Source organism: Homo sapiens, chromosome 2 (genome assembly GCF_000001405.40).
Source record: "Homo sapiens chromosome 2, GRCh38.p14 Primary Assembly".
Classification (NCBI taxonomy): Eukaryota; Metazoa; Chordata; class Mammalia; order Primates; family Hominidae; genus Homo; species Homo sapiens.
The window spans coordinates 130,829,121-130,844,564 of record NC_000002.12 but is presented as its reverse complement, the minus strand read 5'-3'; the positions used below and the strand labels follow the sequence as shown (position 1 = coordinate 130,844,564).

General features: G+C 56.4%; 1 protein-coding gene and 1 long non-coding RNA gene across 5 annotated transcripts in view; one reads left to right on the top strand and one right to left on the bottom strand.

Annotated features, from left to right (window-relative positions):
* The window catches only part of ARHGEF4 (Rho guanine nucleotide exchange factor 4), a 210,340-nt gene extending 202,689 nt beyond the window's left edge, over positions 1-7,651 (bottom strand). For all 4 annotated transcript variants that reach the window (NM_001367493.1, NM_015320.4, NM_001375901.1 and 1 more), the window contains exon 1: positions 7,573-7,651. In NM_001367493.1, the coding sequence (NP_001354422.1) occupies positions 7,573-7,611 (39 nt within the window). In that variant the 5' untranslated portion in view covers positions 7,612-7,651. The remainder of the gene's footprint in view (positions 1-7,572) is intronic.
* ARHGEF4-AS1 (ARHGEF4 antisense RNA 1) lies at positions 7,571-13,592 on the top strand. The gene is made up of 2 exons (NR_186036.1): positions 7,571-8,255; positions 11,449-13,592. It is a non-coding gene; the product is annotated as an ARHGEF4 antisense RNA 1 (long non-coding RNA).
* Positions 13,593-15,444: the final 1,852 nt, after the last annotated feature.

The window sequence follows — 15,444 nt, the reverse complement described above, 5'->3', positions numbered from 1 at the left end:
TCTCGAGCATGGGCAATCTTTAGTTCACAGGCAAAAAAGCTGTGGAAGAGAGACAAATCGACCCCTGTGGTACAAACGTGGCTGATACCCAAGGCATTTCAAGCTAGCCAGGGTGGGACAGGGTCTCTAGGGGTTTACTGCCGGGGTTTGCATCTGGCCAACAGGGCTGTGCCCACCAGGCAGGGCGCCCCGCCTCCTTTACAACAGGGCAACGTGAGGGCCGGAGGGCCTCACAGGCAGCACCATCCCCGTCTGTGGAGGGTCCCGGAGCCAGGGATGGGCCAATGGGCAATATCGTTTAAACCTCACCACCTTATAACTGGCAGAAGGTGAGGGGCAGCCCATTGCAGAGATGAGGAAATCACATATGGGATCCAGAAAGACACAGCACTTCTCCTGAGCCAGGGAGCTAGTTGCGCTCAGCGGGAGAAGCAAACAAAACGTATGGGGTCAGCGACTCCTACAGGAGACCCAGAGTGAATTCAAACCCTCTGCAGGGTCTGGTACCTTCCCAGGTTATAAACAGTGGCTGGAGTCTCAGGAAGGGCTGAGGACACCTGACTGAAGCCAGTGGGAGGACAGGGACACAGAGGTGGGGCAGGCTGTGCCCAGCCCATACCTGGAGAGCAGGGCTGTGCTCCACCCAAGTTTGGAGAGAAGGTTTCAGGAGTTCATGTCTCTAGAAACATCAATCTGGGGCCCTCTGGATTCAGGGCCCCCCTGGGGCTCTGACCTGGCCACACACAGACTCAGCGCATTTCCCGAGGATACGCTGTGCTCCAAACCCTGGCCCTGCCCTCAGAGCCGACAGCCCAGAGGGAGAGAACAACCTTTGGAGATGCCAATTATGTCCCAACAAGCAGGGGGTGCTTGAGAACTTGTGTTGTACAGAAAGACCATCTGGTGAGGTCAGGGGAGAGCCCAACGGGGCAGAGGCAGGGTCTGGAGGAAAAGCACAGGTGGGAACCGTGCCCCCCCTTGGAAGAGCAGTGGGGGAGAGGAGGCCTATAGCACGAGGAAGCACTGGTGCCTCTGAGCAGCAACGCAGCCAAGGCTGGCAAGTCCAGGTTAGCAGGAGGCACAGCCCAGGGGAGGCACGGAAGGCCTGCTGGCAGACAGCTGGCTCCCCTGCCGGGTCTGCCCCACCCACTCCACCATGCAGGAGACCAGCCTCTGTAGGGTTCAAGAGGGCAGCCCGCCTCAGCTCAGGGTCTCCAGCCTTGGGTTCCTGCTGCGACCTTCACCCAGAAGAGTTCAAGGATGTAGGTGGCTCCCTGGCAGAGGCCCCAGGAACCTGGAGTTTAGACCCTCCTTCCGCCACAAATGTGGAGGGGCCAAGTGAGTCCTGGAAAATTTCTCAGTCATACACCATGAGTGGGTATTGGCTGCCCCGTGCTGAACAGCTGCTGGGACTGGGGAGAGGAGGAGATCCCAATATAACCGAAAATCTGGCCCCATCTATCTTGAAAATAGAAAGGAGGCAGATATCCTCTCGTCCCACCCTCTGGCAGCTCAGCTAAGACCCAGCCAGGACCCTGGCTCTTGAGGACAGACCTCACCGCCTACAAGAGACACTAGAGGGTGTTGTCAGCAGAGCAGTGGAGCCCACACCCGGGGCAGCCCCACAGGCCCAGCTGCACGTCGCCCCCTTCATCCCTGCACAAGCTGGGCCAATGAGCTACCCCCAACCTGCCAAGACGTCACTCTTTTTTCACTTAACTGGAGCCCTTTACTGTCTTTGGCAATCAAGATCCTTCACTAGTAAAGAAACTGGTACCAGGATCCCTGCGGGTAAGAGATCTGCAGGAAGGTGGGGAGGAGAGCTGGGACTGCGGATTTCACCTAGTTGAAGCCAAAAGCCGTGGAAATACATTACCACGTGGAAGATGTGGAACTCCAGTATCTCACTGCCTGCATGGCCAGCCCCTAAATAAATTATCAATGGTGGCCAAGTGACTACTGGGTGCTTTGTGGGAGAAACAGCTCTTGCTACAAAATCCAAATGAAAGGCATGAAGAATCCAAGGACTGCCGGGTGCGCTTGCTACTTCTAACTGCCCTGTACAGCTTAAAGTGAGGTAATAACACACTCTGTCCTCACAGGGCCTCTCTACCACTCTACATAAAGTACGAGTATCTCTTCTCTTCTGCAGCCACAGGCCTGAGATATCCCAGAACCAAAAGCAGTCTGACTCCACCAATCTGCAGACTGGCGCATTATACAGCCAGAAGGATGTGTTGTTTCCTTGCTCCTTGAGTGACAGTCAGGGTATGGTTTGGGAAAGAGTGGAACCCTCACCTTAGGAGTGGGGATGCACTGGGGGCTCACAACCCCACTGAACCCTTGCTCCTCTCTCTGGCTGCTTCAGGCTGTTATGCCCTCCCCAGCAAGTCACCCTGTTCTGCTCATGCCCACCCTGGCCCCTTTCCCTGCCTCCAGGCCAAAGAGCAGAGTCAGATCCCAGCATAGCCAAGGGAACCAATTACAAGTGAAACCATCAAGGAAAAGACACATACTTCAGAGAACAAGGACTGTGCCAACATACACCAGCAAAAACCAGGGAGAATGGTGAGAACGGATTTGGAGTGTCCCCGACCCTGGGGGAAGAGCATCAACCCAGGCCAGGGCAATGTACTGCTGCAGGTGCGCCCCCCATGCTGGAGTCCAAGAGCCGGCAGGTGAGCTGTTGGTTCCCTGACCTCAGCTTGATAGTGGCTCCACAAAGTGAAACTGAAAAGCCAAAATCCCTTGAAGGAATCCAGACATCTGAAGGGATACAGTGTTGGTGGAGACCGATCAAGAGCAACCTGTACAACATCCCTAACCATGTCTCCAGGGGAGCCAAAAGGACCTGCCCCAGCCGGAAGCACCAAGAAACATTTAGGAAGGAGAACACCAACAGCTTGGAATATTGCCACAGACATCGTTCTCTATCAGCTGGAGATGATGACGGAAGACCTTCCCGTTGGTGGAAATTCTACAGATGAGAACGGTGAGGCTGGCACGACAGAGGATGGGAGGAAGCATTCAGGTGCCGGCAGCCAGAGGGGCACCAAGATGTTCTCATGCTGAGACTCCTTGGCACTGACGACTCACCCATGGCACTGCTAGGACTGAAATCAACAGGTAATGCCAATAGGGTCCTATCTGATGTGTGTAGTATTAATAGAAATGTAAAAAAAAAAAAAAAAAAGCTTTCTAGGCCTGGCGCGGTGGCTCATGCTTGTAATCCCAGCACTTTGGGAGACTAAGGCGGACGAATCACGAGGTCAGGAGTTCGAGACCAGCCTGGCCAGCATAGCGAAATCCCATCTCTACTAAAAATACAAAAAATTAGTCAGGCATGGTGGTGCGTGCCTGTAATCCCACCTAGTTGGGAGGCTGAGGTAGGAGAACTGCTTGAACTCAGAAGACGGAGGTTGCAGTGAGCTGAAATCGCGCCACTGCATTCCAGCCTGGGTGACAAAGCGAGACTCTGTCTCAAACAAACAAACAACCACTTTTTAAAACTAGGTCTGGTAGGCAGGAGTCTACCATGAGTGCCTAGAACAACATCTGGCGCATAGTAGGTGTTCAACCAATATTTGCTGAATAAACTACATTGCCTCTTGCCCAATTCCCAGATCTCTCAATAGACCCAAAACTCCTTGAGTTGTAGGGAGGCTGGTCACCTGCGTAACAGCACAGGTATATGCCGTGAATCTTCCAGAGCCTCCTGGACAGAGAAGTACCTGGACCTCCCGGCACCATTGAGGGCTGGTTCTGAGCTGACACTGTTCCTGGTAGCCCAGGATGTCTCCACAGCCTGCCACCAGGAGTGACGCTTGCCAGAGGCAGTGGCGCATGCAGGCCATGACGAGAGCTGTGCCCTGCATCCACCTCGTGGCAGCCCACTGGGATCCCAAACCTGTCCTATGGCAATTTCCCTAGTTCCTGAGTGCTCAGGTGACAAACACATGCCAGTACGTGGCAGGAACTTCATCCTGGCTTCCTGAGCCATGGTGTGGAGGCTTCTGTGGTGGGAAAGACTACCTGGATGGATCTACAACTCCCTCCCCTCCAAAATAGTGGCTCATTAGCAACACCTCATCCCTGGAGACTGAGAAACCACCAGCACCCAAGGCAGAAGACGCTGCTGCATCCCCCCTTAACCTGCCAGGTAGGCTTGTGCAGGAGACATGGGGACCTGAAAATGCGGTGGACAGATCTGGGTTCAATCAAGTGGATTCTCTCATCAGCTGTGCTGTCCCACTTATGACCTCCCTACCGGACTGAAGCTGTCACAATCCTTGGCATAGTATAGAGCCACTGATTGGATGAAAACTCGGTCTATGTGTGTGTGTGCACCTGTGTGTACACCTGTGTGTCTGTGTGTGTGCCTGTGTGTCCCAAGTGTGTATGCCTGTGTGTGTGTGTGCCCATATGTATACCTATGTATGCCTGTGTGTGTGTGCCTATGTGTGTGCTTCCTGCTGCAGTACTCAGGAATTCACGGAAGTAGGTTGGCTTCCCTGTCATGGGGCACAGCATCCCACCTTCACGACTTGTCTTGGCTTACTGATTCTGTGCCATGGTTTAGCCAACAAAGACCTTGACCTTTCTCTCCTGATGACCTCATGTGGGTCTTCTGCACACTAATAGGTCTTGGAGGAAACCAAGTAGCAAAGTACCCTAAGTGTTAGGACATACATGTACCAGAGAGTAGGACATACATTCCATGAAAATACAGGGACCTGCCACTTCAGTGACGGCTCCAGGCAGGCAGCAGGGGGTCCAGCTGTCTGGAACATTTTGAAATACACCCTCGAAATCAAAAGTCATGCTTGGCCCACACACGATGCTGGGAGGGCCTCTGGATTTTTGAGACAACATATTTTCCTTTTGGGTGTGCTGCTCCTCTGACTCATTTGCTGGGTGACCCCCAAGGCGGCGCACCTGTGTGGGCCCCTGGCAGGTGCAGGCTCTCCGACTGGTCTGCCTGCACGGGGAGGGACTCTGCCACACGACTGTCATGCCCCATGGATCCCACGGTGCCCAACGTGCCCAAGCAGATCTGTGTGCTGTACAGAGTCTGTACCAAGTGCCACCAGAAGGCACACCTGGGGCCTTGGGGTCCTCCTCCTGGGCTTGGTGGAGACTAGCTGCATCTTGGCTAACAGAGTCTGACTGGGAGACCCAGACAATCTGAGGTTCCCAGAATGAAGTGGCCTTTTCTGGCCCAGTCCAGCACCCATCATCAGGGGTACCTCATAGGACCAATCCCTGGGGACACCAGGAGGCACCAGGCGGTGACTGAAGCACGTAGCTCCTCTGCCCACCCCACAACCTGTGTCCTCACGGGGTATTCCTTACGACCAGTGTCTGAGAGGAACAAGTATGAACTACGTTGTCGGTGGCTCGGCAAGACACACTCACACAGCCAGAAGTGGACTGCTGTGGCAGTCAGAGCCCCTCCCATGTGGACAGCAGAAAGGAGACCCTCTGAGGGGCACAGGTGATGCTTCCTGTGGTGTGCATGGGGAGGCCTCAGGTGTCTCAGGACCTACAGGGACCTGAGGCAGAAAGTATGGAAAGGCCTCTCTGAATAGATGGGGAACTGGAGGACCGTGTGTGTCAGGAATACTTTCACAAAGGCCAAATCCCAGGAGCCTCCCAGGCAGCAGCAGGCAAGGTGGCTGCCCAGAGATGTCCAGTGGTCTCTCCTCCAGCCACACTCCACCTGCTCCTGGAGCTTCTGGGGCCAGCTGGGTGACTCAGATTCTGCCCAGGCATCTTGGATTCTGTCCGGCCATCTTCCCCTCACCTGGGCAACTCCTTGCCACCCTTGCTGTGGGTGCAGCAGAACCAAGGTCCAGGGCTCACCACTTCATAAACACACTCACGTTTCTTTCCTTCCTTCCCTCCCTCCTTCCTTCCTTCCTTTCCTTCCTTCCTTCCTTCTTTTCTTTTTCTTTTTTTTGAGACGGAGTCTCGCTCTATCACCCATGCTGGAGTGCAGTGGTGCTATCTTGGCTCACTGCAACCTCTGTCTCCCGGGTTCAAGCAATTCTCCTGCCTCAGACTCCCAAGTAGCTGGGATTACAGGCGCCCACTACCGCGCCCGGCTGATTTTTGTATTTTTAGTAGAGACGGGGTTTTGACATGTTGGCCAGGCTGGTCTCGAACTCGTGACCTCAGGCGATCCGCCCCCCCCACTCGGCCTCCCAAAGTGCTGAGATTACAGGCATGAGCCACCGCGCCGGGCCACACTCACATTTTCTAATAAGACCTTCACACTAACCCTGAAAGGTGTGGAGGGCATGGAAACATCACCCACATTTTTCAAAACAAAGACCCAGGTGGTTATGTGATTGTCCCAAGATTGTACACCTCCTCAATGACAGAGTCGGCATTTGAAGGGGGTCTGAGCTCTTCCAAGCCATCTCCTACACTCACCAGCACAGGTTCCTGAAAGGCTGCCTTCCCGGCTGTCCGGCCCTCTCCACTCTTGATGCCAGCGATCACTTCGTTATCGCTGGGGGTGGGAGCTGATGCCAGGCCAGCGGATAGGCTGAGGGCAGGGCTCCTGCAGGTCTGCCCTGGGTCACCTGGCTTCCTGCCCCTTTCACTAGAGCTCTCAGGGCCACAGAACTCCGACCTCAACCTCCCGTCTTCAACTCCGGGAGAAGATGGCTGCACAGCCAAGTAGGGCGCCCTCCCGCCCTCCCGCCCCGACAGCCCCACACAGGTCTGCCTCCCCCTGGACCTGCAGCTGACAGCTGGTGGCTCTTCCCCGCCTCTCCTTTCATGCAGTTGCTCCCGGAGTAGGAGCCCATCGGAGCTCAGCACCACCCAGCGTCGCAACCGCCCTCCCGCTGGCTCACCTGGGGAGGTCGGGCTTGGCAACCTGTGGCCGGCCACCCCTGACAGTGCCCCGGAGCCCCCGGCCCATCTTGGGGTTCCTGTGGGGGCAGCGAGGTGGAGGCGTCCCAACTGAGTGGGTCCCGGATGGTGAGCGGGCCCGGAAATCGGGCCAGAGAGGGGGCACCCCGAGCAGGAGCCCAACAGCCCCGACCCCAGTTCCAGCCCCTTGCCGCTGCTGCGCCCTCGCGTACTCTCAGCCTGGGGAATAACAACAGCAACCACTTCTCCCGTACCCACCGGGCCGGCACCAGCCCTCCTTCCCAAAACAGCTGGTACTGCGCCAAGCGGCAGAGGCTCCGAGTGCCCTGCGCGCCCAGGCCGGTCCAGGCAGCGGCTCCGAGTGCCCCGCGCGCCCAGGACGGTCCAGGTGCGGGGAGGCCGGCTCAGGCGCTCGCCCTTGCCCTCTCAGGGGCTCGCCCCGGGCCGCCGTCCCTACCGCCCCCAACGGAGCCCCGTCCTTCCCCGCGCTCGAGACGGCCCCACTTTGCAGGACGCCGCCTCCGGTCTGCACGTCGGAAAGTTGGGAGCGGCGGGGAGCCACGAGGGTGTCCCCACCCACCGGGTGCCCAGGGGACGGCCCGGGGCGCAGCAGCCAGCGCGGGCTGTGCTCCTCCCCACCCGCGCAGGGCGCCGGGAGCCCGACCGCAAGTCCCGGACGCCGGCTCTCACCTTGAAGAAGCTCCGGAGGAAGTGCACGACGCTGAGCATGGTGGCCGCCGGGACGCCCGGAGCCCGGCCGCAGCACTACGAGCCGCGCCGCCGAGCCGGCTCCACCGACGCCACCCCGCGCCCCGCCCTAGGGTCCGCCCCCGCGCCCTCGCCCGGACGCTCCGCCCCCGCAAACCTGGCCACTGGAGGCACGTGAGGTCCAGGCTCCTGCCCTGCCCGCCCCTGGGCTTTGGTCACCCGCGGGACTGGGCACGCACAGGCACACAGCAGAGCCGTCCACAGACCCGGCCCAGGGGCCGCCGGGATCATCCCGCCCAGTCGAGCTCTTGGGCCCCCTTGAAGCCTAGGAGTGTTTTCTCAGAGAGAAAGCAGCACGCTTCTTGCGCATTTGCACATCTCCAACGCAGCGCTTCGGCCTGTCCTCCGCACTGGAGACTCAGGTGCCTCCGCCCTCCTGAGAGCAGGGGCGGCCTCTCTGCTGAGAGTTCTGATTGTCAAGCTCCCAGAACTTTCAGAGTTCAGTCCGCCCAGCGTTCTTGTTTACCAGTTGAGGAAACGGAGGCCCAGGGAGGCTGTGCAGCGCGCCGGCACTCACACACCTGGTGGGGACAAATGTGGACTAGGATATCTGGGACCGAAGTCTTGGCCTCCAGCTCCCTCTTGCCTCCCACTTACCTTTCCAGGTATGTCCTGCAGATAGGATGTAAGTGAATGGTCACACCCGTAACCATTAAGGAGCGCAGCTTTCTGCTAAGGGGCAAAGGGAAGTCCTCGCTGCTTTCTTTGCAGGGGTTTAAGGAGACAGGGCCTGCCAGGAAACACTCTAACCAGCCCTAGGACCGCACTATTTTAAATCAGAAGAAAAAAACTGAGTATAATAAAATAATAATGAATCTAGCCTGGAGTATATTCATCTTTATATGAATGCAGTTGTAAACTCTAATTTTAACTATTTTATTTTATGCAGGAAGAGGCCCACGAAAGCTAAGACCCCAAGGCCCATGTGCACCATACTGCAGCCCTGCTCTGTCCACCATTTCTGAGATCGGCGCCCCACAGAGGGAGAGCATCTGCCCAGACTGGCTTTTTGCACCCCTGCTCAAGCCTGCACCCTCGTCCAAGTCCTAGCCCCACTGAACGCTATGCCTGGTCAGCAGTGCGTGTCAGGGGTGCCTGGCAGAGTGTGCATTTTCCGTACACCCAACCTGTCTCTGCCTCTCCCCAGGCCCTCACAGCAACCAGGCCAGGCGAGAAGCTTGGGAGATAGATACTCAGAGGAGGCACTGTGGGGCCATCTGAAGATCCTGCGTCCCCTGTCACAGCCTTTATGTCACTCAGGGTCCATGACTGTGCTAGAAGCATGTCCCTGAGGCCCATGGTGGTGGGAGGAGGGTGTGGGATTCGGATCTGGGCACCTGGCTGTGCTGCACACCAGTTGTGTAATCATGATCATCTGCTCTAAACACGTATCTTTAACATTCGAGAGGAATGACCGCCTGGTGGGGTTGCCATGGAGAGTACGTGAGAAATTAAACCTCACAGGTGCTTAGCAAAAGTTAATTCGCTCTTCTCTGAAGGCTTAAAGTGCTAATCCCCTGGCGAGGGGGGAGGTCCAGTGAAAATACACAACCCCTGGCCACAGGTTCCATTGTTGTCTGGACTCCTCTGACCAGTGGACAGCCCTGGACCTGGGTTCTCAGACCTGAGTCAGAACCACGTGGAGGACACCATAGAGCTTAGGCTGCTGCCCCTCACCGCTGCCCCCCTCTCACAGGATCTGGGGTGGGGCCTGGGAATTTGCATTTTAACATGTTTCCAAGTGACCCTGAAGCTGCTGGCCCTGGGACCACACTTAGAGAACCCCTGGTTCAGGCTATGGGGCCTGGGCCAGGCTCGCCGTCTAGCAGAGGATCAGACCCCAGGTTGGAGCATAACCGTCATGATGGCTCCATTCATCAGGCACCTGCTGTGTCCCCGCACGCCCAGATCCCTGCCACAGCGCAGCCTCCCTAGAGAAGTGACATCCAATGCTCGAGGGGAAATAAATCAAAGGTAGTTTATGTCTGTCTTTTCCTTCTGGTGAACATGGTTTTAGGAGGACTTGACTGCACTGTGGTGTGCTCTCTCTTTTGCCGTTATTAAAAATAAGAAAGGCAGGCCTGTTTGAGTCGCTGAAGGATTTGTACAATAGAGTTTCTAGTCAGTGGAGCGTCCCATGTTTAAATATGACCCCGACTTCCTGTCTGTCACATATGGCAATTAAACAGGTTCAGCAGCATAGGGGAGTGAAGTGAGTGGTAGGACAGAAAACATCGCAGCAGATTCCAAGTGGCAGAGAGAGCGTGGGCACGGGGTGGACCGATGGAACTTACAGGGGCTTGTGCTTTCCTCGCTGGGCAGCCTGGGCCACTTGCTTTACTTCTCTGGCCCAGAGACCACAGGCTTACATATAGACAGACCTACACTACCAGCTGGGGCCTGAGTCACAAAAGACAGAAACTTCCCCTGGCTACTCTAGCAGGAAAGGGATTTTTGCAAGAATATGGAGTAAGGCATAGGCAGGGGGAGGTGTGCTGACCTGGGAAACAGGCAGCCAGCCGGCTACGGCAGCGGCAGCAGCCAGAGCTCACCAGACAGACTGCCCACTAGGGAGGCTGGGGCTGGTGCCTCTCCCTGCAGCTTTGCTCCTAGACTCTGGCCTCCTGTAATCTCTGCCGACGATCCCTGCGTCCCTGGTCCTTGACCAGCTCCAAAGATGTAAAGTCCAGGACCACCCACGTGTTGCTGTCTGACTGCTGGTGAGTCAGGGGAGCCGTTGTGAGGAGGGCATGAGCCTTCAGCTAGCCTGGTGGGAAGCCGGCCTGCTTGTACAGCTGTCATAGGTGGGGGACAGAAATCAGGGACACGTTGGAAACAGAATCTTTTTTTTTTTTTTTTTTGAGACGGAGTCTCCCTCTGTCACCCAGGCTGGAGTGCAGTGGCATGATCTTGGTTCACTGCAAGCTCCACCTCCCAGGTTCCTGCCATTCTCCTGCCTCAGCCTCCAGAGTAGCTGGGACTACAGGCGCCCGCCACCACCTCCAGCTGATTTTTTTTTTTGAATTTTTAGTAGAGACGGGGTTTCACCGTGTTAGCCAGGATGGTCTCAATCTCCTGACCTCGTGATCCGCCTGCCTCGGCCTCCCAAAGTGCTGGGATTACAGGCATGAGCCACCACACCCGGCGGAAACAGAATCTTAAAAGAGCTCCTCAGGTCAGAAAGCTGGGCTGACCCTAATGATGGCATTCTCCGGGGTGAATATGTAGCGCCGAGTTCAGACCAAGTGACCCCTGACACGCGGGCAGGGCCTGCAGATAGCCAGCTCCGACAGTCAGCGAGGGGCAGTGGCTGGCGGTCAGCCACAGAAAGGCGCAGGGACACTGGTGTTCCCTCTAGGCTGGGCCCAGGAGGAGGCAATGCCCAGGAGAGAGGCTTCACTGCCTCGTCCCCAACTCTTCAAGTTACATTCCCTCCCTCCCTCCTTTTCTTTTCTTTTCTTTTCTTTTCTTTTCTTTTCTTTTCTTTTCTTTTCTTTTCTTTTCTTTTCTTTTCTTTTCTTTTCTTTCTTTCTTTCCTTCCTTCCTTCCTTCCTTCCTTCCTTCCTTCCTTCCTTCCTTCCTTCCTTCTTTTTGTTTCTTTCTTTTCTTCCTTTCTTCCTTTCTTTCTTTTGTTGGAGCCTCACTCTGTTGCCCAGGCTGGAGTGCAGCGGCACCATCTCACCTCACTGCCACCTCCATTTCCCAGGTTCAAGCAATTCTTCTGCCTCAGCCTCCCGAGTAGCTGGGATTACAGGCATCGACCACCACGCCCAGCTAATTTTTTTGTATTTTTAACAGAGATGGAGTTTCACCACGTTGGCCAAGCTGGTTTTGAACTCCAGACCTCAAGTGATCTGCCCGCCTCGGCCTCCCAAAGTGCTGGGATTATACATGTGAGCCACCGTGCCTGGCCTTGAGTTACATTTTCATGGGGACTTGGGACAATCGGAAATGCATCCACCACACTTGCAGACTGACTGGTGATCCTGAAATGATGGCGTGTGGGAGAGGCATGGGCTTCCTTTAAGAGCCGCCAGAGCCAGGGCAGGGGCACCTTGTGCCTTGACATAAGGAAGGCTCCCCTGCCAGGATAGACAGAAGAGCTGCCGAAGAGGTGGAGCCAGGCAGGGGCCACAGGCCCGTGAAGGTCTCAGCAGAGCCCCCAGGAGAGTTGGACTTGCTGCAAGCAGAGCCTATGGCTCTGCGGTTCCAGGAGAACTGTTTGTGCCCCTTGCCCCACTGCCTGCCAGCTGTCCCCAAAAGGACCAGAGGATCAGAGTAGCCCACTCCAGACGAGGTGCGGGCACCATGCTGTTACCATCTGCTGCCCCTCTTTCCATCTTTCCATCTTACTTCCTGCGTGGCCCAGCATCCAGGCTGTCTAGGGCCGTGGGAGACCTGGAGAGCCATTAAAAACAACAACTGGCAGCACACAGGCATTTTTTGGCAGCACACGGAAACTCACACGGAACAGACAGGGAGCCGGAGGTGAGCAGAGTTACCTGTATTTCTCTCACCACCTGAGGAAATTGGGGTTCAAAGGGGTAAAGCACCTTGTGTGTTGGCCCCAGGGGTGAAGCAGGAGGGGCCAGGCCTCTAGGAGGACTGGCACAGTTGGGTCAAGGACAGGGGAGCCAAGAATGTGGGGTGCGGTCAGGACCTGGGATGGCCAAGCAGTGTGAGGTGAGCCAGAGGCCCAAGGTCTCTGAGATGCTGCACAGAGGGGCATTGAAAGGAGCCAGGATTTGAGGAGGAGAAGGGAGGAGGTGGGGGAGGAGGGCTCTTATGCAGACCTGGGGTGTGGGGAGGGGATGTTCACTGACCCCCCCGCCCCACCCTCACCCGCAGGACCGTGGCCAGGCTCCACCCTGGAGGCAGCAGAGCGAGGAACGTCTAATGGGGATCCCGTGTGGATGCCTTTAGGGAGCTCTGCTGTATACCTGTTACCTCTCACCCTCAATCACACCTCTGGGGCCTGGAGCTGCTGGGGACACATTGACTGGAAGGGGCTTGGGGGCACAAGGAGTGAGAGCCAGAGAAGGGCAGGGCAGCCCAGGGATTGGCAGAGCTGGCCTCAGAAGCTATTGGTGCCACTGAGATTCAAGTACCCCCTGCTTCTTCCCCAAGTCACAGACAGGGTGAAGACAGAGGCAGGATTCAAGCCCAGAGCCCATGCACTGCCCTCATTCCCTGACTGGAGTGTATTCCTGGCAGGGTGACCTGGAAGGGGCCCCCCCAGCACACTAGCTGACCTACTTCTGCCTGGTCTGAGAAGCCTGTCCTACATCACTCAACCTGAACACAGGGGAGGCAGGGGAAGAGGCAGGAGGGTCCTCCTATGACCAGGACCACCCCCAGGGCCCGTGCTGCGGCAAGGGCAAGGACCCCTGCCTCCTTGTGCCCCTGCTCCCCACGTCTGAACGTGGACAGGACTGAGGTTGCCCTCTGTAAGGACTGTGGAGGCTCCAGGCTGGGAGAAGGTGGAAGGTCCCAGAGCCCCGGAGCCTGGCTCTGCTGCCTAATGCTGGAGCAAGTCACCTGACCCGCCTAGCCTCAGTGTTCTCATTTGTGAAGGGGGCTGATGATAGTGCCAGCTCTCAGAGCTGTTGTCTTCACCCTTGGCTTTCAGTGTCATGGTCGTGAAGCCCACTCATACGTGACCTCAATGAGATGGCCAGGTATGTTTATCAGCACTTTTGGGATAATGATTCTCCCCTCCCATGGTGACTGTGAGGGGCATGAGTGTGGCCAGCGTGCAGCCGAGAAAACAGATGTGAGCCCTCTCGTTTAGGAAGGGAAGGTGGGACAGGCAGGCAGGACTCCTTGTGGGCACCTGTTGAGGGGGCCTCACCAGGCTGCATGGCCTCAAGGGCTGCTTTCATTGATTCATCTACAGTGTATAGTTATTTCCAATCAACTCAATACAGCATTCATTTGAAAAATGTTTCAGTCATTGAGAACAGTCTGCTTTGCCTGCCCTCAGAGGACTCTTGGAAATAAATCAACAAACAGAAAATTACAAGATAAGTTAAGTGCTATTAAGGTAAAACATTCAGGGTCGAGAGAGGGAAGAATGACCTGAGTGGCCACGGAAGTCCCCACTGAACCCTGGAGGCTGAGAGGCATGGGGAGGTTCAGGGAAAGAGGGTCCTTGTAGGGGGTAAGTGCAAAGGCCCTGGGGCCACAGCACATTTAGAGAGGCAGAAAACTCACATACATGGCTACACTTTAGGGAGCACAGATGAAGATGGGGGAGATGGAGTAGAAGCTAGGGTGGGGCACAGCAAGAGGGCCCTGGAAGCAGGGGAGGAATGTGAAGGACCCTAAGCTGAGCTGGCAGGGGAGGAAGCAGAAAATTTTTTTTTTTTTGAGATGAGTCTCGCTGTCGCCCAGGCTGGAGTGCAGTGGCACGATCTCGGCTCACTGCAAGCTCTGCCTCCCGGGTTCACGCCATTCTCCTGCCTCAGCCTCCTGAGTAGCTGGGACTACAGGAACCCGCCACCACGCCTGGCTAATTTTTTTGTATTTTTTTAGCAGAGACGGGGTTTCACCATGTTAGCCAGGATGGTCTCGAGCTCCTGACCTTGTGATCCGCCTGCCTTGGACTCCCAAAATGCTGGGATTACAGGCATGAGCCACCACACCCAGCCAGGAAGCAGAACTTTTGAGACCTGTCGGGAGGCCCCAGGAGAGAGGGCGGTGGTAGAGTGGCCGCAGGACTGAGGTGCATTTTGGAAGAGGTCCCTTTAACAGGAAATGCTGGTGGATTGGGTGTAGGGTTGGGGAAAGGGAGGACTCTGTTTTTGTTTTTGTTTTTTCTTTTCTTTTTTTTTTTTGAGACAGAGTCTTACTCTGTCACCCAGGCTGGAGTGCAGTGGCGCGATTCTCGGCTCACTGCAACTTCGCCTCCCAGGTTCAAGTGATTCTCCTGCCTTAGCCTCCCAAGTAGCTGGGACTACAGGCGTGTGCCACCATGCCCGGCTAATTTTTTATTTTTAGTAGAGACAGGGTTTCAACATGTTGGCCAGGCTGGTCTCGAGCTCCTGACCTCAGGATCCGCCTGCCTCAGCCTCCTAAAGTGCTGGGATTACAGGCGTGAGCCACCGCGCCCGGCCTGGTTTTTTTTCTGATTCAGTAGAGGGGTGGTAGTGCAGGTAGATGGAAGGAACCCTGGGGAAGGTGCTCTTGGGTGGCATGGGGACAAGAACTCGGTTTTGGACATGTGAAGTTTGGGGTGCCTATGCTGTGTCCAGTCCCAGGGGACTCAGAGGGCACGAGAGCAGGCACTCTGCCCTCATGGAGCTTGCAGTCTGCTGGGCAGATTGGGGATAGGGATCAGGAAGTGTGTGGGGCTGGGGGCCCGGTGGCTGTGTGGAAGGCCTGTGAGCCTCGCCCTGTGTCCAGGCAGAGCACACAGGAGGATTTGATGTGAGCTAGGCCTTAGGAGCCTTGGGGTCCCCTCCGGACTGACATGCCCCATGCACATGGCCCCGATTCTTGCCCCTCTGACGGTACTCACTGCTGTGGGATGCCACACTGACCTCACTGTTCTCTGCTCCTGGAATGTTGTTTGCCCCCTCCCACCCCTGCTCCGCTGTGTCAAAGCAAGCCCCTGCTCAGCCTCCAGGCTCAGCTCTAGGCCCCGCCCCCAGATGGGGCTTTGCCTGCCCTGAGGAGGGACCCTCTGTTTTGGTCCACAAGAGCCCTGCACCCCACCCTGCACTGACTCAGCTGCCTCTCAAAGGGCTGGGCTTCCTGGGTGTGGGATAGGCCTGAGTCATGGATGTGCAGGCC